The sequence below is a fragment of the Homo sapiens genome, chromosome 17, assembly GCF_000001405.40.
Source record: "Homo sapiens chromosome 17, GRCh38.p14 Primary Assembly".
NCBI lineage: Eukaryota > Metazoa > Chordata > Mammalia > Primates > Hominidae > Homo > Homo sapiens.
Window position 1 is genome coordinate 42,113,105 of NC_000017.11, and position 20,314 is coordinate 42,133,418.

Here is a 20,314-nt window from a genome sequence, read left to right on the forward strand (position 1 = left end):
CAATCACACAGAGAAATAAAAAGCTTTATTATTCCCTCTAAGGGATTAATGCCAGGGAATGAATGGTCCCCATACCCCCCACCCCTGGGGGAGACTGACAGAACAGTGCTGGACAAGGCATGGCCCCCTTCAGTTTGGGCTGAACTTCCAACCCCTGAAGCCATCACTCAAGCTAAAATGAGCAGTTCTGGTCCTCAGGGAAACAGCCACCTGGGCCAGGCCCAGGAATCCAAGCCTCCAAAGCTCTTGGGGACCAGGCCTGGGGGCCACCACGGCTGGGCAAGGTTCATCCCTGGCCACCAGCTACTCTAGAGGGGCTGGGCCCCAACCCAGGAGACCTCTCACACACAGTGAAGGCTGGGACAGAGCTGCACGCTTGGGGGTGCCTGAAGGTCCAGAAAGAGCTGCAGGATCGGGTCCGGAGGACCCTTGGCTGGAGTGTCTCAAGCTGAGTCGGGTCCGTGGGGCCAGGGCACCCCCTAAGGATCAGATCAGAATCCGAGGTGGAGACATTCCAGGTCAGGGCTGCGGCCCAAAGATGGGCCTACTTGTCAATGAGGCCTCCCTCCTTGAGCTTGAAGTAGAAGAACTTCTCCAGGGCGCTGGCACAGCGGCAGTACTCGCTGTCCGGGGGGTTGTACTCGCGACAGTTGGCGATGACCCGCTGCAGGTCGGCCACAAAGAGCTTCCGGGTCACGTAGTAGCGGCTTCGCAGCCGCTCAGTCATGGTCTTCAGGTCTGGGGCAGCAGGAGACGGAGCACAGCTTTAAGAGGCTGAAGACCACGGCAGGGCTGTCCACCAGGGTGGGCCCCCTGGGGCTGCAGGGCGCAGTGAGGGCAGGAGCAGGTGTGGGGACAGAAGAGGAGGGAAGGGGATGGAATGGAAGGTCCTCACCAATGGGGAAGCGGATGACCTCGTAGTAGTCAGGGGCCTCCGACTTCTTCACAGGCTCCATGAAGGGCCAGGCACTGGGGTGAGACTGGAGAGAAGAGCCGGGCTGGGGACAGCCCTGCTGCGCCCACGCCAGCCCGAGACCACTACCCACCCCACACTGCATCAAGAGGCCACAGCCATTGGTGCAGGGGCCCTGGAAAGGAAACCTGGTCTCCCCACCTTGATTTGGGCCAGCAGGTTTTTGAGGGTTGTGTAGAGCTGGTCGGGGTCCTTCAGCTCCTTCCTGGGGCGAGAGACACCAAGTCTGAGGCTCCAAGTCCCTCTGCCCCACCCCCAACCCGGCTCCTTTGACACTCACCCCTTCTCCTTCCCCAATGGCTTCCAGCCTGTCTCTCCTGCAAAGTGGGAAGTGGGAGAATGTCTCTAAGAATGCCAGTCCACACCCCAAGCATCGTGCCCCCACTACCCTGCAACTGAGACCCCTGCTTACGAATGCCAGGAACGCTCTCCACAGGGATCTGCCTCACGCCCTCCTTGAAGCAGCTGAGCCCCGGGTAGACCTTGCGGATCTGGGCCTGTTTGCGCTCAATCAGCTTCTTGATGATCTGAGGGAAGGAAGGGACTGAGGGGCCAACTCCAGCCCCAACAACAACCCCTCCCAGGGCCACAGTCGGAGCCACTGGCTGCACCCACCCAGCTGCAACGCCACCTAATCCAGCACCTCCCCTCATAACTTCCCCAAGGGAGCAGAGCAAGAGCCAAGATCCTGGCCTGCCCCTCCTCACTCACACACATATATGCATGTAGACGTAGAACAGGTCTACACACGTGTGCTCGCCCTCTGCATGCCCATTCATGAAAAATCCCACAGATGCGCATGTGTGCACACCACCTCTTTCTGCTTCTTGATGATGTGGGACAGCTCCGTGTAGGGGATGCGGGGATTCAGCTCACACTCCATCAGCGTCGCTCCCTCGTAGTCCTTGATGTAGCCCAGGTAGCGGCTCTTGGGCACCTTGATGTCCTTGGAGAAACCCTGGGGGGTGGATGGTCATGACCCAGTCCATCCATAAGTATTTCCCAACTTCTGTCGTCCCTCACCTGGGAGCACCAGAGGAGTAGCACGTGCCACTTGCCACCTCCTGCTCCTGAACCTCCTCCTGGGGCACTGTGAGGGTTCAAACTGTCCCTGGAAAGGTCCCAGGTCAGCTGCCCACTCCTGACTCATCCCGAAGAGTCCCCCAGTTCCTCCAGCCTGCTCTACTGGCCCCCCAGTTCCTCTAGCCTCCTCTACTGGCCCCCCAGTTCCTCCAGCCTCCTCTACTGGCCCCCCAGTTCCTCCAGCCTGCTCTTGGCCCCCAGTTCCTCCAGCTTGCTCTACTGGCCCCCCAGTTCCTCCAGCCTGCTCTACTAGCCCCCCAGTTCCTCCAGCCTGCTCTAGTGCCCCCCCCAGTTCCTCCGGCCTGCTTTACTGGCCCCCTAGTTCCTCCAGGATGCTCTACTGACCCCCAGTTCCTCCGGCCTGCTCTACTGGCCCCACAGGCCCTCATTCTCCCCTGGGGCAATGGCAGCAGAGGAAAGAAGATAGGCATGGAGACTCTCCTGGCAGGTGTCAGGTGAAGTAGGGGACGCAAAGGGACTCCTACTCCATCCACAGAGGGGCTGGACAGAATTACCCCAGCCTCCAGGCAAAGGACCGGTGTGGGACGAGGCTACGGGTCACCTGCTTTTTGAAGTAGCCGATGGCGTACTCGTCGGCGTAGGTGAGGAAGTAGAGAATGTTGTGCTTGATGTGATACTCCTTCAGGTGGTTCATCAGGTGGGTCCCATAACCCTGCGGGGGAGGGAAGCAGGACTCACCAGGAGCTGAGGATGGGCCTGGTGCTGGAGAGGTCTCAGAGACCAGAGAAGAGCGGGTAGATTGGAAAGGAGGTAGAGAGAGCGAGAGCATCCAGGCAAAGAGGAAGAAAGGCAGCTGACAGAGGAAGGGGAGCTTATGGGGAGAAAGTGAAGGGTGCGGGCTTTCTAAGCTCACTCTGGGCTAGGTGCAGTGCTTCCTGTTTTACAGACCGATTCTCAAATTAACCCCAGAGGCGAGTATTACCACCTTTATTTTACAGAAGAGAAAACCGAAACTCAGCTACGTTAGGAAATGTGTTCAAGGTCAGGCTGCCAGCCGTGGCAGGGCCGGGTCCAAACCCAACACAGGCCACTGATTCCCAGTCCCTGGGCCTCAGAGTTGGGAGAAGCGGGAGAGGGAGTCACCAGAGGTCTGAGCAGCAGGAGCAATGCCTCCCACACGTCAGGGCCAATGAGGCACCACACAGATCTGAGGTATGCGACACACAGAGCCAGAGACCCTACGAGTGGGTCTGTTGTAACAAAGGACAGAAGCCAAAACTATCAGCATAGGGCTACTGTAATAATGATTAGTTTGGCTGGGCGCGGTGGCTCATGCCTGTAATCCCAGCACTTTGGGAGGCCGAGGTGGGTGAATCACTTAAGGTCAGGAGTTAGAGACCAGCCTGGGTGAAACCCTGCAACATGGTGAAACCCTGTCTCTACTAAAATACAAAAGTTAGCCAGACGTAGTGGTGCATGCCTGTGGTCCCAGCTACTTGGGAGGCCGAGGCAGGAGTATCACTTGAACCTGGGAGGTTGAGGCTGCAGTGAGCCCTGATCATGCCTCTGCACTGCGGCCTGGGTGAGAGAGACCCTCTTTCAAAAAAATAAATAAAAAATAAAAAGTAAAGTAATTAATTCCCCCATGTATGTAAATGTTCTTGTGATGCAGAAAACCCAAGTCCACAGGTCCACCAAAGTGTGGCTGCTGCTTGGGCTCCGTCTGTCAACAGGTGGTTTCCTAATCCACAGTTATCAAAGTACGGCTGCCACCTTGTGGGGATGTGAGGAACGGGCCGCTAACTAAGAGAAGAGCAACGGGCTGCTGCATGCCACACATCCTGCTGCTCCGAACTGGCCCAAACTCAGGAGTGGGCCGTGGACTGGGGCTGGGGCCGGGGAGCCGCGCTCACCTTGACCTGCTCATTCGAGGTGACAGCACAGAAGACAATCTCCGTGAAGCCCTGGGTGGGAAACATGCGGAAGCAGATGCCACCGATGACCCGCCCATCCTTGATCAAGGCCAGAGTCTTGTGCTTCCTAAGAGAGAGGGGGGCATGTCATAGCCCCTGACTGTCCCCTTCAGGTCCCCAGAGCCCTGGAAGTCTGAGCTGTAGTCAGGGTTGGGCAGTGAGAAGTAAGAATGCTCAAAGGATGAACCTCAGAAGTGGGGAGCAGGGGATCCCCAATTTTGAGGAGTGAAGAGGCCGAGGAGGAAGGGAACTGGGTGTGCTGCCCTGGGGGAGGGGCTCTCTGGGGGACGCACGGGTCAAAGACGAGGCGGGCGATATACTCCTTAGGCATGCGCGGCAGCTGGTGGGAAAAGACATTCTGCAGCCCCACGAGCCACAGCAACACCCGCCGGTTGGCCTTGGGCGTCAGTGAGTTGCCGATGACATGGAACTCGATGATGCCGCGGCGCTCCTCCAGGCGGGCTGTCTCATCCCGGGCCGCATTGGCCGAAAGCAGGCTCGTCTGGGCACAGAAGAGGGGTGGTGAGCCGGGGTCTCAGGTTGGTGGGGGTCCCCCAACTGGTCAGCAGGTCGGGCTGCCCACCTCAGGCCCCAGCATGGCAGCAGGGTCAGTGATGGTCAGCATGACCTCATTGACCAGCTCCATGGGGATGTCACCCATCACACGGAGCCGCTTGGCATCCTCCAGGGTCAGGTTCTCTGGGAGCGTCCTCTTCTCGCCTATTGGGGAGGCAGGCAAGGTTGCTCAGGATCAGTAAAAAAGGTTTGGGAAGGAGTGAATGAGGGTCAGAGGTCAGGGGTCAAGTATCCACCTGGCATAGGCTCGGCCCCTGCAGAATCCAGACTCAGGGAGCTGTTGCTGCCCCCACCCATGCTGGGGCTGAAGATGGGGGTGCTGGGAACAACCGCTGCACTGACTGAAGCTGAGGAGAGAGAGAGACGTCAGGGATGGGGGGCTGAAGCTGAGGAGAGAGAGAGAGAAGTCAGGGACGGGGGCTGAAGCTGAGGAGAGAGAGAGTCAGGGACGGGGGTGCTGAAGCTGAGGAGAGAGAGAGAGAAGGCAGGGACTGGGGGGGCTGAAGCCGGTGGCAGGTCCCTCAGTGGGATCCAGGGCCTCCGGCCCAGGTGAGCTCTCTTCCACCCAGGAGGCTTAGCTCAGCCAGGCAGGCCAGACACCCTACAGAGCGTACCATGGCACATACCTGGCCGGGGAACCAGCTGTGTCCCCTCTGAGGGTGGCATGGTGAAGCCTGACTCCCAGATTGGAGAGTTTGCCCCATAGATCTCCTCCTCCAGCATGGACAGGAATCTGTAGGGAGGACACAGTCTGTCCCACAACTCTGTTCTCCAGGGTGCAGCCTGGGCCAGGCAGCAGAGGGACTGGAGGCTGGTCAGAGACAGACCCTGCTCTTAGGGAACTGGGGACCTGAGAGAGGGGACAGCCCCTGTCTTCTGGGAGCCTCCAATTGAAGGTAAGAGGACAGGACACATCCAGGACAGAGATCAAACAGGCTCAGTTTCACCACGCTGTGTGGCACAGGGAGACAGGTCTGAGCTGATGTCATCCTGTGCTGTGTGGCCAGGCAGGGCACCTTGTCACCCTGAGCCCCCTCACTGCCCTCAGTATCAAAATGGGCTCAGACTCCACCCCACCTTGCCATCTCTTGTTCCCACCTGATGGCAGGGGGCACTAGAGAGCCAGGATTAGTCAGTCAGGGTTTTTTGAACAGGGGAGTTATGGCCTAGATTTTAAAAGGTGTGGCCGAACAGAAGAAAATGGTACAGAAAAGACCAGAACAGGAGTAGAAATTGGTTTCACTTCAAGCTTAAGGTCTGGTTTCTTGGAGAGTTGTGCAGGGAAGGAGTCTGAGGCTGTGTCCAGGCCCCCATGGGAAACAATTAGTAACATCTACTGGGGCGTAGGGTCGGGTGGGGGCAGCGTTAGCTTGGGCTATGTACCTGCCATCCCCAGACTAGTACTAGCAAGTTGCTTCTGGGCCATGGGCAAGTCTGCCAGGTAGACGCCCAGATCCCAAAAGGCCCATGGAGGGAGAGGAGGGACCAATCCAGGAAGCCTTCCTGGAAAAAAGGGGACAACAGGGAGGATGTGAACTTGGGGCCAAATCCTGGTAGGCCAGAAGGAGCCTTACTTGGGGAAGTGAGTGAGGATGAGGGTCCTCTTCTCGGGCACCAATTTGTCCTTCTCCACTCGGAACTTTTCCAGCAGCTGCCGGCGGGTAACGGTGAAAATGGACCGGAGAAGGCTTCGCCCAAAGACATGAGTGGTTTCGTAGCGGGGGAGGCTATCACAGCTCTGGGGCACGTGGCAGTAACAGAGCCATCTGGAGTAGGGGGTCGAGGGGGAGACAGGTGAGGGCGGAAACCACTGAACCCAGGCTGGGCCTGCAAGCCTCCCCCGAAGCTGCCCCTGGCTGGGCCTACCTGGTGTAATTGACCTTGTAGGTAGCCACGTCCTCAGCCTGAGACCTCTGCCGAAACTGGGCAGGTGTCTCAAGCTTCCAGTAGTTAAGGCAGAGCAAGAACATCTTTGAGAGCTCGAACATCGTCTGCCGCTCCCGGGGAGCCAGGTGACTAAACTTGTACTGCACAAAGTTCAGCACACCCTGAGAAGGGGTGGGTGGGGGATAAAACCAGGAATGAGGTGTGAGCAGCCCGCAGGGCCTTCTTAGACAAAGGAAGATGCTCCCTGGCCAGGGACAAGGTTCTCCTTCTCCTCTCTCTCTCGGGTGCTCTCTATAGAAAAGCTCTGCCCCCTCCCTACCACCATGCCCACCCTGAGGTTAGCACAAAACACCCTTCCTTCTCTGAACCTCCCCAGTGTTCTCAGCTTGAGGAGAATGGAGAACACAGGCTCCCCACTCCTCCAAGCTGTCCCCAATTCTCCTATCCGCTATCTCCAATTCCCCTATCTCACCTGCTCAATATTAGGTTTCTCAAATGGAGGGCTGCCCAGGGACCCCTCCACCACAGGCCGGGTCATCTGCAGGATGCATTTCCGCAGTAGCTAGAGAGAAGAGGAAGGGGGCATAGAGGGGAGGGGGGCAGAGCTGCAGACAACCCCTCAAGGCCCCACCTCCTTCACTCACACCCTCCTTTAGTGGAAGCTCACCTTGAAGAGGTAGAAATAGACCTGCTTGGTGTCTGTGTCCTCTTCCTTGTGAACAGACATGAAGAGATTCTCCACATCCACCACCATCCCCAGCAGTCGGTTTATCTCATCCTCTGACACATTCTCCAAGTGGGATACGTGGTCAGCTGCAAGACAGATGGCAGAGTTAGGAAAAATTGATAGAAGAAATCAACAAGGCTTCTTGACCCTCTTCACAGCCAAGCAAGATACACACTCTGTTCCTCCAACCAGTGTGACCAACAGTGAGACTGACTGCTCCGATATCAACCGTTGGGTTGCCTGGGCCTGTTCTGGGCTGAGAGATTTCCTTTCTCCCCCCTTGGTGCACACCCCCCCCCAACCCAATCCCTCCTTCGAGGCATCTTTGATTTTTTCAGAGATGAAGCTTTGTGGCACTTGTCACCCTGTCCAAGCAGGACCCAGCACCTGCCCCCAGCTCCAAGGGCGCTGCCTGCCTTACCCAAGGGGTGCTCACAACTGCGGCACAGCTCACTCAGGTTGGCAGCTGGCTGCTGCAGATCCATGCGGGGTGCAGTGGGGGGCTTGGGGTTTTTCCAGCCATTACACTTACAGGTTTCATTGGCCTGGAGGTGGAAGGATCAGTCAATGACCTATACCTCTGGGGCAAGAGCCGCTCCGCAGCCAGAGCTTTGACCCCATTCCCACCAGAGCCCTGGGATGCCCCAAGCCCCGCCCCTTCACCCCAGGCCCCGCCCCCACCTTGCAAGCCGAGAAGACCCCTAGCTTCTCAAGCTTCTTGGCGCGCGGCAGCCCCCGGACTTGCGCCTTCCTCTGACTGGCGCGCTGCTGCTGGCTCAGGCCAGGTCGAGCCGGATCCCCCCCGCTCCCGGCCCCCCCACTTCCTACCCCGGGCCCCCCAGTCCCTGTGCTGCCGGCTGGGGCTGCAGCTGGGGCAGGGGCTGGTGCCGGGGTGGGAGTCGGAATCGGGGCTGAAGCCGGGCTGGGTGCAGGAGTCGGAGTTGGGGCAGGGGCTGGGGACTGAAGGGGCCGGGGCTGCGCAGCCGGGGCCGGGGTCGGGGCCTGGGAAGGTTCCGCCATGGCCTCCCCCGCAGCGGAGAGCGGCGCCGCGCTCCCAGCCCTAGGGCCGCATGGGCAACCAGCGCTCAGTGCGCAGGCGTTGCTGCGCGGCGCATGACGGGAGTTGTAGTCTTCCCGCGCCTTCCCCTCACTGCCTCCAGCTTCCAGACTTTTCTGTCCTGTCTCTTGGCCCCTGACAGCCAAGTGAGGCCTGAGTGAAGGCCCCACATTGACCCCTCTTCACTTGTAATCTCTTTTAATGGAGTCCGGGAGAGTCACGATGGCTGTCCTCTTGGGGACAAGGAGTCTTGGGGAGAATCGTGGGGTCTGCCTCTTTCACGCGCCTGTCTCCCACTTAACCCCCTCCCCCAACTCCCGCACAGGCCCTGCCCCACGCGGCTCCGGACACGGAATTGCAGCTGCGGTAGAGATGAGATGTAGCAACAGTTCTGCAGTAGTGTGGTGGTGACTTGGGTGTGTTCTCCTCCTGACATTCACCTGCACCTTTTTCTGCGCTTTTCAGTATGTATGTATTTAATAGTATCACTCAACAAAAAGGAGTTTATCAGGCCGGGTGGCTGGCTCACGCGGGAGGAGAGCTTGAGCCCTGCAGGAGTTCGAGACCAGGCTGGGCAACATTGGGAGACCCCCCCCACCAATCTCTACAAAAAAATAAAAAATAAAGTTTATAGGCTGGGCGAGGTGGCTCACGCCTGTAATCTCAGCACTTTGGGAGGCCGAGATGGGAGGATCGCTTGAGCCCAGGAGTTCGAGATTAACCTGGGCAACATAATGATACCCTGTCTCTTAAAAAAAAAAAATTATCAAATAACAGCACCAGAGGCATAGCTGTGGTTATGATGGTCACCAAGAAGGCTACTGACGTGGAGGGTGAGGCGGAGGAGGGCTAGGTCTTTCTCTGTGCACTGGGAGCCACTCTCCTGAAGCCCCAACTGCGTCTTCATCTTTGTGGCCCCAGAGCCCAGACCACAGCCTGCAGCACAGGACGCCCCGGGAAGAATTAATGCAGCCGGAGAGACCAGTCCACCTCCTCGTGTCGCGTGTCCGCGTGGGGTTGTGGGTGGTCAGGGAGAGGTAGGGTGGATGACCCAGGAAGGCCGCCCTCCCCTGGCTCTGTCTAGGAACAATCCTTGCCCCAGGCCTGGTCCTTAGAAGGCAAGACAGCCCCCTTCCAGCTGGGGGATCAATCTGCTGTTGGCTGCGCCAGGGTGCGGCTCCCTCGGGTCTGGCCTGGTCGTGGATCCAGTTCCTTCACAGCTGCGGCCTCCCCGGGTCCATTAACGAAGGTGGGGAAGGGCGGAGAAAGGGTCGGAGTCTGGGAGGAGAGCAGCTGCGGGCGCGCCAGGGCGCTGACAGTCTGGCTCTTGGAGGTAAGATGGGCGTGGCTGATCCCGAACTCCGCCTGCGTTTGCAGAAGCGAAGGGAACCGAGCGAGCGGAGCTGAGCTCGGGTAGGCCGCGCGAGGTCCCTCCTCTCCGGGCGTCCGTGCGCCTAGCTCTGCGCTGGGAGCCTCGCGCCCTTTGACAGCAGTTAGTTGCTGACTCGGATGCAGAGAGTCGGTAACACCTTCTCCAACGAGAGCCGGGTGGCATCCCGGTGTCCCAGCGTGGGCCTTGCTGAACGGAACCGGGTGGCCACAATGCCGGTGCGGCTGCTCAGGGACAGTCCAGCGGCTCAGGAGGACAATGACCATGCCAGAGACGGTTTCCAAATGAAGCTGGATGCCCACGGCTTCGCCCCGGAGGAACTGGTGGTGCAGGTGGATGGCCAATGGCTGATGGTGACCGGACAGCAGCAACTGGACGTCAGGGACCCGGAAAGGGTCAGTTACCGCATGTCACAGAAGGTGCACCGGAAAATGCTCCCGTCCAACCTGAGTCCTACCGCCATGACCTGCTGCCTGACCCCCTCCGGGCAGCTGTGGGTCAGAGGCCAGTGTGTGGCGCTGGCCCTCCCTGAAGCCCAAACAGGACCGTCCCCGAGACTCGGGAGCCTCGGCTCTAAGGCTTCCAACCTGACCCGGTAAACAAACGACGCGATGTGCAGCAGCCTTGGTGTCCGTTGTCTTTTCTGGGGATGGAAGTCAGAGGTAGAGGGACTGGAGGCACAGGAGGCAGGAAAGGCACCCTCAAGGTGGTGGTCCACCAAGAATCAGGCCTCTGCGGGCAGATCACTTGAGGCCAGGAGTTCGAGACCAGCCTGGCCAACATGGTGAAACCCCATCTCTACTAAAAACACAAAAATTAGGCGTGGTGGTGTGTGCTTGTAATCCCAGCTGCTCGGGAGGCTGAGCAAGAGAATCGTTTGAACCTGGGAGGTGGAGGGAGGTTGCAGTGAGCCAAGATCCTGCCACTGCACTCCAGCCTGGGCCACAGAGTGAGACTCTGTCTCAAAAAAAAAAAAAAAAAAAAAAAAAAAAAATGCTGGGCGCGGTGGCTCACGCCTGTAATCCCAGCACTTTGGGAGGCCGAGGCGGGCGAATCACAAGGTCAGGAGATCGAGACCATCCTGGCTAACACGGTAAAACCCCGTCTCTACTAAAAATACAAAAAAATTAGCCGGGCGTGGTGGTGGGCGCCCGTAGTCCCAGCTACTCGGGAGGCTGAGGCAGGAGAATGGCGTGAACCCGGGAGGCAGAGCTTGCAGTGAGCCGAGATCGTGCCACTGCACTCCAGCCTGGGCAATAGAGTGAGACTCCGTTTCAAAAAAAAAAAAAAAAAAAAAAAAAAAAAGCCGACTGTGGTAGCTCACGCCTGTAATCCCAGCACTTTGGGAGGCTGAGGCGGGTGGATCACTTGAGGCCAGGAGTTTGAGACAAGCCTGGCCAACATGGTGAAACCCTGTCTCTACTAAAAATACAAAAATTAGCAGGGCGTGGTGGCGGGTGCCCGTAATTCCAGCTACTTGGGAGGCTAAGGCAGAAGAATCGCTTGAACCCAGGAGGTGGAGGCTGCAGTGAGTTGAGATAGCACCACTGCACTCCAGCCTGGGTAACAGAGACTCCGTCTCAAAAAAAGAAAAAAAAAAAAAAAGGGAATCAGGCCTCTGTGGCCCTGGGAGAAATTGGAGGAGAGTGTGGCCCTAGCTGAGCAGCAGCTCCAACAGGTAGCAGCAGAGAGCTGAGTGCCCAGACCTGATTCCAGAACCAGTAGAGAGCTGGACTGGGGCAACTTGGATGTGGTGTGGGGGGGTGACGTGGACAGAGGTGGTGAGGAAAGCCAGTGGCTACAGTCTTGGCCTTAAGACCAGTCCAGCGTTCCAGGGGCTGTTGGGATTCCTTCCTCTTCAGGAAGAGAGAGGATCCAGACCCTCTCACTGGTAAAGACCAACCAAAAAAAACCCAAAGAGGTTGTTTCTGGTGTTTCAGAGACTAATGATCATCAAATACACACTGCATGTCACCCCAGTATGATCTGGTAGGTGGGGGAGGGGAAGGGAGGTGGAGAAGTGAACACGGGCCCTGAAACTTCAAACTTGGTCAGCCCAGGTCAGCTACCTCATCGGAGCTGCTAACAGTAAGAGCCTCTTTCTCTTGGTTACCATGACCACCAGCATCCCCTCACATTAGAGGGGAAGATTTTGTTTAACAAGATTCAGTGGTTCATTTTAAATCAACTTCAACTACAGAGGGCACTGTCTGATAAACTGCCAGAGAAAGACAAGGAAGACAATTGTGAGGTCGATCGATCGGCTGACTATATTGACAAGATACTGATTGGTTACATGTTGAAGAAAACATACAATACAAAATACAGAAAAAGTTGGTTCCGTCCCCTCCCACTCCCCCCCTTACCCACCCACCCCCAAATACTCATCATCATGATTTGGTCAGAACAGGGCTCAGAGCCAGAGGTTGGGGTGACCGAGGGTGGAGGGGTTGTGGGCAATGGGTTCGTGGCTGTCACAATAATGCTGTGATAATGCTGTGGTTTCCCAGCAGGGAGGTGGGAGCGGGGAGGGGGCTGCAGCCTGATGAGAGCCAGCTGAAGGAAGAGCTGCCTCTCCCTTCCTAAGCCCCTTCCCAAGGTCTGCCCCACCGCCCAAACCAAAGACCACTCCGAACAAAGTGAGGATGTGGATGCTCTTGCTGGGTCCGCTGTTCCGCAGGAGGGAAAGAAAGGGTAGCTGCACTGACCCCACTGTCCCCATATACAAGGGTTGGGGGGCAAGAGCATGTGGCTACTCCCAGCAAGGGAAAATGGGAGAGCAGTAGAAAGGGGAGGAAGTGGGAAGAGCAGAAGATCATATATATTAAAAAAGTGACTTAAGACTTAAAATTGAATTAGTATTTGTACAGAAAGGTGCAGGTGGAATGACTCACTCCGGCCTATGATCAAAATTATATGGAGAAATCATGGTGGACCCCTCCCCCTGCCCCCCCAGTGGTGGCCCGAGTCGTTAAGTGCGATTGGTTAGAGTGGATTCCAGTCGGGTCATTCAGGCGGAGGAGGCGGGGGCAGCGGGCAGGCAAGGGGGGCTCAGTTGCTGCAGCACTGGCTCCGGCTGGCTGGGTTGTTCTCCTGGAGGTCCACACCTCGGTTTCGGCCTGGAGCACCAGTTGCATTCTGGGGCTCGTTCTTGGGAAGCTTCTTAGCTGTTTGGGAGGGGGAAAAGTGCATTTGTTGGGGGTACCCCAATAACTCTCCCAGTTCCACTGGAGCAGATTCTGGCCTTTATACCCAATCAGTGGTAACTCACATATTGAGGGCTTCTGTGTGTCAGGTGCATTCTGATTGTTTTCAGGAAACTGCGGCAAAGTAAGGTTAAATAACTTGCCCAAGACTACAGAGCTAATGAGTGGTAGAGCCAGGATCTGCAACCCAGGAAGGAAGATTCCAGAGCCAAATGAGCTAAAAACTCCTAGGCAGTGGGTAGGGGTAGTGATGGCAGGCTCTGAAATGGGTGGCAGGCTACAGGCTCAGAGAGTGAAATGTTGAGACTCTGGCCCAGGCTTCAGGAACTTCTCGGGTGAACAACCAACATCTACATCTGGGAGTCAGGTGATGATGAAAACAATTTTATCAGAAGGTTAAAAGTGGTGAAGGGGGCTGGGCGCAGTGGCTTACGCTCGTAATCCCAGCACTTTGGGAGGCCGAGGCGGGTGGATCACGAGGTCAGGAGATCGAGACCATCCTGGCTAACACCGTGAAACCCCGTCTCTACCAAAAATACAAAAAATTAGCTGGGAGTGGTGGTGGGCACCAGTAGTCCCAGCTGCTCGAGAGGCTGAGGCAGGAGAATGGCGTGAACCTGGGGGGCGGAGCTTGCAGTGAGTCGAGATCGTGCCACTGAACTCCAGCCTGGGTGATAGAGCGAGACTCCATCTCAAAAAAAAAAAAAAAAAAAAAAAAAAAGAGTGGTGAAGGGACCCCGCAGGCCCACTCTAGACCAGCAGACAGGTGATATGCCCTTGCTGTGGTGGAGAGAGGAGGGGAGGAGAAGCAACTGACCTATTGCCATGAAGATTTCGTTCACGTTCATTGCAGTCTTTGCTGATGTCTCCATGAACAGCAAACTGTTGTCGTCTGCATAGGCTTGTGCTTCCTGGTTTGGATGGAGGTGAGAGGAGGTGAGAGGGAAATGTTGGCAGGGGCCAGGGCCCAGGGCCCAGGATACAAACCTTCCTTATTCGAGCACCTTATCATAATAGAGATCAGCTGGACACACACAGGAGTTTTCAGGCCTAAGGCTGCCCTGATCTGGGTTTCCCCGCTCATGTATATCACCTCTCAGCTCACAATCACTAGCAGATGTCTTACCCGGGTTTCCCCAGGTCCACCCTGCCTTCTTGCTCTTCAAAATCACTAGGCTAGGAAATACTTCTAGAAAGTTAACCTACAAATACACTTACATGTTTGCACAAAAGCACAAAAGTATGTGGATGTCTACTGCAGCACTGTTTTCAGTCTTTTGCTATTATTAGGGATTGGTAAAAAATTATCATATACAGTATGTATAGCACACTGCCATCAATGTAAAGAAAGGGATTAAAAAACACGTGCATATTTCTGGAAGGACAAGAAACTGGGGAAATTAGAAGAAGAGAAGTTGAGTTTCTAGGGTTAGCAGAGACTTAAGTATTTCTTTCTCAATAAGTTTAATTAAAAAGTCAACTTACAAGAAAAGAGAAGTAGAAGGCTAGTGATCCATATATACACATACCCCTACCACCAAAGAAAGAGAACCAGGGAGAGACAGGTGACGGGCAATTCCTTTTAGGCCCATGCTTTTTTTATTCTTTTCTTTTTTTTTTTTTTGAGACAGGATCTCACTGTGTTGCCCAGGCTGGAGTGCAGTGGCACGATCACTGCTCACTGCAGCCTCAATCTCCTGGCCTCTAATGATCCTCCCCACCTCGGCCTCCTGAGTAGCACACCACCATGCCCAGCTAACTTTTGTATTTTTTTAGACATGGGGTTTCGCCACATTGCCCATGCTGGTCTCGAACTCCTAAGCTCAAGTGATCTCCCGCCTCAGCCTGCAGAGTATTGGGATTACAGGTGTGTGCCACCACACCTGGCTGTTTTTTTTTTTTTTTTAAAGAGATGGGGCCTCACTCTTGCTCAGGCTGGAGTGCAGTGTTGCAATCACTGCAATCTTAAACTCCTGGGCTCAAACAATCCTCGTGCCTCAGCCTCCTGAGCAGCTGAGACTACAGGTGCGTGCCACCAAGCCCAGCTAATTTTTAAATCTTTTGCAGAGACAGAGTCTTACTGTGTCGCCTAGGCTGGTCTCGAACTCCTGGCCTCAAGTGATCCTCCCACTCCAGCCTCCCAAGGCACTGGGATTACAGACAGGAGCCATGTTAGGCCCATGCCTGAGGCACGAGAGGACAGCAGATGGAAGCTTCCCTGTTGCCTCCTAGCATGGCCCTTCCCAAAGCCCCTGAGCATCCCAGGCGAGGCCGGGGGGAGCTGCTTACTCCACTCCTTCCCCCAAGTCTGTCATCTCCCCACCTGGAATTCCACGGCTCTCTTGCTGGCCAGGTCTGCCTTGTTACCCGCGAGTGCAATGACGATGTTGGGGCTGGCCTGCCTCTGTAGCTCCTTCACCCAGTTCTTGGCCCGTGCAAATGTATCCTGAGGAGACAGGGACAGAATGTCGAAGGGACAGAGAAGGCATTCTGCCCAGGGCCACCCATTAGAGACTCTCAAGCTGGCACAGCCAAATTATCTAAGACATTGCCACCTAAAGATTCTGATGCAATGTCCCCAAACAGGAAATCTGCCCACCCCCCACCCAGGAACAGAGGGTTAAGCGGCCTGAAATCAGGGCTCTGATAACCCAATCCCTGGGACTTTGAGAAGATGAAGGGCAAAGGAAGAAGCAAGGGGAAATCTTTACTGTGTTGGTGATGTCATAGACCACGATGGCAGCCTGGGCCCCCCGATAGTACATGGGGGCCAGGCTGTGATACCGCTCCTGTCCAGCTGTGTCCCAGATCTCAAACTTGACTGTTGTGTCATCCAGGCAGACAGTCTGTGTGAGGAAGGCCGCTGTAAGAGAGAAGGAGCGTCCATGGGCAAGAGCGAGTTGGAATCCACCCCACACAATCCCACTGTTGCTTCTAGGCTCTGGCACTCAGAAGCCCACCACTGAGATGGGCACAGAGAACCCTCAAGCCAGGAGCCAAAGCAGGCCTGAGTGGGGGGTGGAGTTTGGATTTTTATGTATGTGTCTGGGGGACGGGGTCTGCACAGGCTTTGCAGACCCAGCCCAGGCAACGGCAGGAGAAGGGACTCCTGCATGCACTGAGCCATCTCAGGACCACTCTCTGAAGAGCAACACAGCAGGGGCAAGAGAGGGAAAGCCTAGGGGAAGCCTACTCCAAGCACAGAAGGGTGAGCGCCCTCAGACCTCCTCCTCCGCCACTCAGAGAACAGACCAGCAGCTAGGGACCGCTCCACCCCTCAGTTTGCTCCAGCCCAGGGGTGTCACTGACCTTGGGTTTCCTAAGGACATTCTCACACACTTAGCTATGCTGGGGAAGTACACACTGTTCCACCACCAGGCTGAGGCTGGGTGGCCGGCTTCCCAACCACCCCTACCACCTCCAGGCACTCCAGCTAGCCACCGCCCCTAGCTCTGACCCAGACCTGTTCCTGTATGGCCACCCTGTGACCTGACCTTCAGTCACTAAGAGGTGACTCCTTAGGGGAATGCAGGGTGCCTGTACACATGCTTCAAAGGAGGAGTCCAGAGCTGGGACAGACAGCAAAAGGCCCCTTTGCCCCTGGACCCAGCAGAGAACCCAGGACAGCCATGTGTAGAAGGCTGCTTTCCTGGTCTGCCCTCCCCCAGCTCACTGAGGGACATGGGGCACTGCCTCACTTCCCCTCTCCAGCTCCTGACCCAAATGCTGAGGAGGCAGCAGGGAGACTGCTGACATGGCCCATTTTGTTTCCAGCTGCCTAGAAACCTCCTACCAAGAGAGTAGAGAAAGGATGACTCAAGGCCAAGGCCAGCGTTGGCCCCTGCCTCTTGATGTGTGTGTTAGCCACGGAGGCAAGAGGCCGAGGCCAGACCCTCACTCACATCCTAAATGCTGACCACTGGAAAATCAACAACAGGCTGTGAGCTCCAGAAAGGGTAAAGTCAGCTTCAGAAACACCCACCTATCACCCAGCTCCGACTCACCAGGCTGTTCCTTCTTCTGGAAGTGGGAAAGGCCAGGGCACATGGACCACCCATTATAGTAAGAAGGGGCCTCAAAGATCCAGAGTCAGCTCTCCCTCCATGAGGCCAGGGCAGTGAAAGGGCCTCAGCCAAGGCCACACAGATCAAGAAGGGGCAGAAACAGGATGGGAAGCTAGCTTTCCACTCCCAGCAAATGCTTACTAGCGATGCTTGAGGGGACTCTGGCATGGAGACCAGTTGCTGGGCTCAATTCCAGGGCCCAGGTGAGGAAGTGGGGCTGCCACCACAGACGCATTTAGTCCCTAATGCAGGCAGGCAGCTTCCCATCTCCTCAAGGTCAAAGCATTTCTTTGGCAACCTTCAGGCCCCTCCCCGACTCCCTCATGCCCACTCACCTCCAATTGTGCTCTCCTGGTACTCGTGAAACTGTCCCTTGACAAAGCGGAGGACGAGGCTGGATTTGCCTACCGCAGACTCCCCCAGCAGAACCAGCTTAAATTGACAGATCTTGTTCCCAGCAGCTGGTCCATTGGGTCGTGCTGCGCCTCCCCGACCCGCCATTGCCCGTCCAGCTGTAGTGGTCCAGAGAGCGTGCGGGTGGGGACTGGTGCTATGCAAAGAGGCACTTAGTGGGGAGGGGGACCTCCAACTGTAAGGGAGAAATGAGAAGTACTGAGTTAGTTCAGAGGCCGTCACCCGCTGTGTCCTTCTTAAATTACAGATCTTTCCCTCTGGCCTCACTGAAGACCTAGCTGACTGCTTCCCCTCACCTCACCTCCCTGCCCTCCCCACTAGAGGTCAGGAGGCCCCACTGGGCTATACTAGATGTCTACCGGCTCTACCACCATCTGAGCTGTAAAGAGGAGAATGGTCTCCCAACTTCAGGCTCATGGTTCTGAGCAAACACATTGACTTCTGGATCCCAAATATGTACATTCACCTACAAATAAACACACACAGGCGATGAATGAATGTGTGACAGCCTGGTGACAGTTAAGTCAACAGGCTTTTGGGGCAAAATTAAAACAAAACAAAACAAAACAAAAGCTCAGGAAGACACTAGGATTTAGATCAATAATGAAGTTCCAGTCTGGTAGCCAGGACCACAGTGGTGAGGCAGACAGGGGCCCAAGAGGTCCTGGTAGAAAGCTCCTCAGAGAAGGTGCTTGGCCAACCTCATGGCCATTCAGGGACCAGGGCCTGGCCAGCACAAGTTGTTATTAACATAGCCATTTTTCTCCTGCCACCTTCAGAAGGACTGACCGACTTTCAGTCTAGGGCTGGACTGTGTGCCTCTGTGCACCAGAATCAAAGCAATGTTTCACTCTCTCATCCTGATCCTTCTTCCCTAGTTCTCTCATTTTTGATGGGCCAAAGTCTCGCACCCATTAAAAAACAAAACACACACAGAAACAAACACATAGTAAAACACACACCGATACACACACACAAACACACACAGAAACACACACACCGGAACAAATACACACTGAAACACACACACACACACACAAAAACACATGCCAACACACACACAGAAATACACACCAAAACAGACACCAAAACAAAACACACACCGAAACAAACACACACAGAAACACACACCAAAGTCATAGCTCTGCCACAGTCAGCACAGCTACCAACTTTCCCTTTTTCAATAGAGACCTCAGTTCCATTCTCTACTGGCAGAGATGGGGCGATGGAGAGAAAGAAGAGGCAGGAGGTGTGGGAGGGCAGAGACCAAGTCCTGCATCCCCAACAGCTGGTGTTCCAGTCCCGACATCTGAATCACTTGGTTAGTGACAGCTTCAGAGGCTCAACTTTTTGTTTTTGTTAAGTTTTGGAATTGCAGACACATGAGGAGCCTATCTCTAGAAGCCTCTAGAAGACATAAGTGGATGTCTCATCAGACATATACATCTGATGTCAACAGACATCAGAATATATACAGAATGTTTTACAAACAGGTCCTGTGAGTAGGTATTAAGTACTGAACACTGTTCAGCATTTGAACCTGGGTTGGAAAGAAAAGGTTTTTATTAGGCTGCCCTTTGCATAATGGAGTCTAAGATCCCAGGGAGAGCCCCGATCTGCCCCTGAGCAAGGGAAGTACATTCCCTCATGGTTAAGGGACAGCAATGTGGATGAACAGGAGGTATCTGTGGGAAGCAAATGGTCCACATTCATGCAAGAAGCTGACAGCAAAGGGCTTGTTTTGTTCAACCTCAAATCGTTTTCCACATCCAAGTTCTCCCAGCAACTCATTTAAAAAGTGAGCTTCAGGAAGAATGATTCACTAGCCAGAAACAACAGTTTCCTTTCTGGAGAGAACCAAAGGAAAAGAGGTTTGAAATGGGGCCCACCTCTTCCCCAAAAGTACAAGGAAGGAAGTACGGGGTGGTGGGTCTCAATTAGCAACCAGAAATACCATGTAAATATTTCAAAGTTATGTCATTTCAATTTTTCATAGTTTAAGACGCTTTCTCATTTCACCTCAGTCAATGAAGAGACAAGGTCTGTGCTTTCTGCTTCTTAGAGATGCCTTCCTCACAGTGCCTATGTGCATACTAGGAACTCAAAGAGTGCTGATGGAAGGAAATAATTTTTTTTTTTAAAGAAACAAGGTCTCACTGTGTTGCCCAGGCTAGAGTGCAGCGGTGTGATCACAGCTCACTGCAGCTTCCAAGATCCTACTGCCTCAGCCTCCAGCAGGTATACACCACCACACCCAGCTAATTAAAATTTTCTTTCTTTCTTTCTTTCTTTTTTTTTTGCAGAGATGGAGTCTCACTGTGTTGCCCAGGCTGGTCTCCAACTCCTGGCCTCAAGCAACCCTCCCGCCTCAGCTTCCCAATTGCACAACTATTATCTCCTTCAAGCTTTACGACAACCTCCATTTTTCAGATAGATAATTTAACATTCATATATTAAATGTCCTGCTCATGGTCACCCAGCCTACAGGTGACAGAACCCCCCAGACCCACCATAGACATGATGCCATCCTCCCTGCTGTGGAAGAACAATGGAGGCAGTGCCTGCCCTATGTTTGGTTTAGGGCTGCTAGGTGAATGAAACTCTCTTTTTTTGTGGCAGCAACTTTGCTGGTCCAGGAAGGTCTAGCTCTAGCTGGCTCTAGCAACAGTCACAGTAATCTTGCAGTTTCTGAGTGCCCTCAACAGTGGGAGGAGCCGCCCAGAGCCAGGCAGGGCGACAGCAACAGAGGGAAAACCACAGTGGAATTACAAGTTGGTTATTACCATGAATCCACGTGACACAGAGTCTTGGCTGAGCAATGGTCTGTGGCTGGGGCACTGGAGGAGGAGGTATGAATGGACTGGGAGATGGTAATAGAAAACCAAGTCTCTGATTCCAAAAAAACCAAAGCAGCTGGTGCTTAGGGTACCGAGCTGGGAAGTAACCAGCACCTACAGGTCGAGAAAAATACAGGTAACAGATCTAAGTCTTGTCACTACCAAA

General features: G+C 54.9%; 3 protein-coding genes across 7 annotated transcripts in view, besides 6 other annotated features; 1 reads left to right on the plus strand and 2 right to left on the minus strand.

Annotated features, from left to right (window-relative positions):
• On the minus strand, positions 7–8,263 carry KAT2A (lysine acetyltransferase 2A). Of its 3 annotated transcripts, none has more exons than NM_021078.3 (18): positions 7,862–8,263; positions 7,602–7,725; positions 7,121–7,266; positions 6,926–7,015; positions 6,433–6,614; positions 6,141–6,332; positions 5,193–5,299; positions 4,803–4,913; positions 4,574–4,710; positions 4,284–4,492; positions 3,931–4,057; positions 2,619–2,729; positions 1,788–1,931; positions 1,386–1,500; positions 1,254–1,290; positions 1,115–1,178; positions 896–980; positions 7–738 (listed from the first exon to the last, which is right to left on the minus strand). In NM_021078.3, the coding sequence occupies exons 1-18, from the start codon at positions 8,198–8,200 to the stop codon at positions 545–547; spliced, it is 2,514 nt and encodes an 837-aa protein (NP_066564.2). In that variant the 5' UTR covers positions 8,201–8,263; the 3' UTR covers positions 7–544. The 3 variants fall into 3 exon arrangements, with proteins under 3 accessions (NP_066564.2, NP_001363156.1, XP_006721881.1); NM_001376227.1 differs by having other exon boundaries at positions 1,785–1,931; XM_006721818.5 differs by lacking the exons at positions 6,141–6,332; positions 6,433–6,614; positions 6,926–7,015; ... (1 more) ...; positions 7,602–7,725; positions 7,862–8,263 and adding an exon at positions 5,950–6,137 and having other exon boundaries at positions 1,785–1,931.
• Positions 2,677–3,212: an enhancer, noted in NCBI's record as "H3K4me1 hESC enhancer chr17:40267799-40268334 (GRCh37/hg19 assembly coordinates)". NCBI's record gives its function as "activates a minimal SCP1, AML or CMV promoter by ChIP-STARR-seq in primed H9 embryonic stem cells {active_cell/tissue: H9 hESC(primed)}" and the evidence as "EXISTENCE:reporter gene assay evidence [ECO:0000049][PMID:30033119]".
• Positions 2,677–3,255: a biological region, named in NCBI's record as "H3K4me1 hESC enhancer GRCh37_chr17:40267799-40268334".
• Positions 2,936–3,255: an enhancer, noted in NCBI's record as "active region_12186". NCBI's record gives its function as "activates an Ori minimal core promoter by ATAC-STARR-seq in GM12878 lymphoblastoid cells {active_cell/tissue: GM12878}" and the evidence as "EXISTENCE:reporter gene assay evidence [ECO:0000049][PMID:35858748]".
• Positions 8,130–8,379: a silencer, noted in NCBI's record as "silent region_8516". NCBI's record gives its function as "represses an Ori minimal core promoter by ATAC-STARR-seq in GM12878 lymphoblastoid cells {active_cell/tissue: GM12878}" and the evidence as "EXISTENCE:reporter gene assay evidence [ECO:0000049][PMID:35858748]".
• Positions 9,700–10,248, plus strand: HSPB9 (heat shock protein family B (small) member 9). Its single transcript, NM_033194.3, has one exon. It carries the CDS (start codon positions 9,747–9,749, stop codon positions 10,224–10,226), a length of 480 nt encoding a protein of 159 aa, NP_149971.1. The 5' UTR covers positions 9,700–9,746; the 3' UTR covers positions 10,227–10,248.
• Positions 10,015–10,552: an enhancer, noted in NCBI's record as "H3K27ac-H3K4me1 hESC enhancer chr17:40275137-40275674 (GRCh37/hg19 assembly coordinates)". NCBI's record gives its function as "activates a minimal SCP1, AML or CMV promoter by ChIP-STARR-seq in naive H9 embryonic stem cells {active_cell/tissue: H9 hESC(naive)}" and the evidence as "EXISTENCE:reporter gene assay evidence [ECO:0000049][PMID:30033119]".
• Positions 11,875–20,314, minus strand: part of RAB5C (RAB5C, member RAS oncogene family) — a 30,011-nt gene continuing 21,571 nt past the window's right edge. For 2 of the 3 annotated variants that reach the window (NM_004583.4, NM_201434.3), the window contains 5 exons: positions 17,233–17,486; positions 15,545–15,696; positions 15,157–15,279; positions 13,651–13,744; positions 11,875–12,794 (listed from right to left, as the gene is read on the minus strand). In NM_004583.4, coding sequence (NP_004574.2) covers positions 12,679–12,794; positions 13,651–13,744; positions 15,157–15,279; positions 15,545–15,696; positions 17,233–17,398 — 651 coding nt within the window. In that variant the 5' untranslated portion in view covers positions 17,399–17,486 and the 3' untranslated portion in view covers positions 11,875–12,678. Of the gene's footprint in view, positions 12,795–13,650; positions 13,745–15,156; positions 15,280–15,544; positions 15,697–17,232; positions 17,487–18,502; positions 18,719–20,314 lie in introns of all 3 variants that reach the window. The other variant, NM_001252039.2, reaches the window with a different exon arrangement.
• Positions 20,149–20,198: an enhancer, noted in NCBI's record as "active region_12187". NCBI's record gives its function as "activates an Ori minimal core promoter by ATAC-STARR-seq in GM12878 lymphoblastoid cells {active_cell/tissue: GM12878}" and the evidence as "EXISTENCE:reporter gene assay evidence [ECO:0000049][PMID:35858748]".

Excerpts from the sequence above, each read along its gene's own strand:
- HSPB9 (NM_033194.3), top strand. The coding sequence starts at position 9,747 with ATGCAGAGAGTCGGTAACACCTTCTCCAACGAGAGCCGGGTGGCATCC.
- KAT2A (NM_001376227.1), bottom strand. The coding sequence starts at position 8,200 with ATGGCGGAACCTTCCCAGGCCCCGACCCCGGCCCCGGCTGCGCAGCCC. Across the intron at positions 6,615-6,925 it reads AGAAACCTAATATTGAGCAG|GGTGTGCTGAACTTTGTGCA; the intron begins GTGAGATAGGGG and ends ACCCCTTCTCAG. Across the intron at positions 1,291-1,385 it reads GGAGAGCGTTCCTGGCATTC|GAGAGACAGGCTGGAAGCCA; the intron begins GTAAGCAGGGGT and ends CCCACTTTGCAG.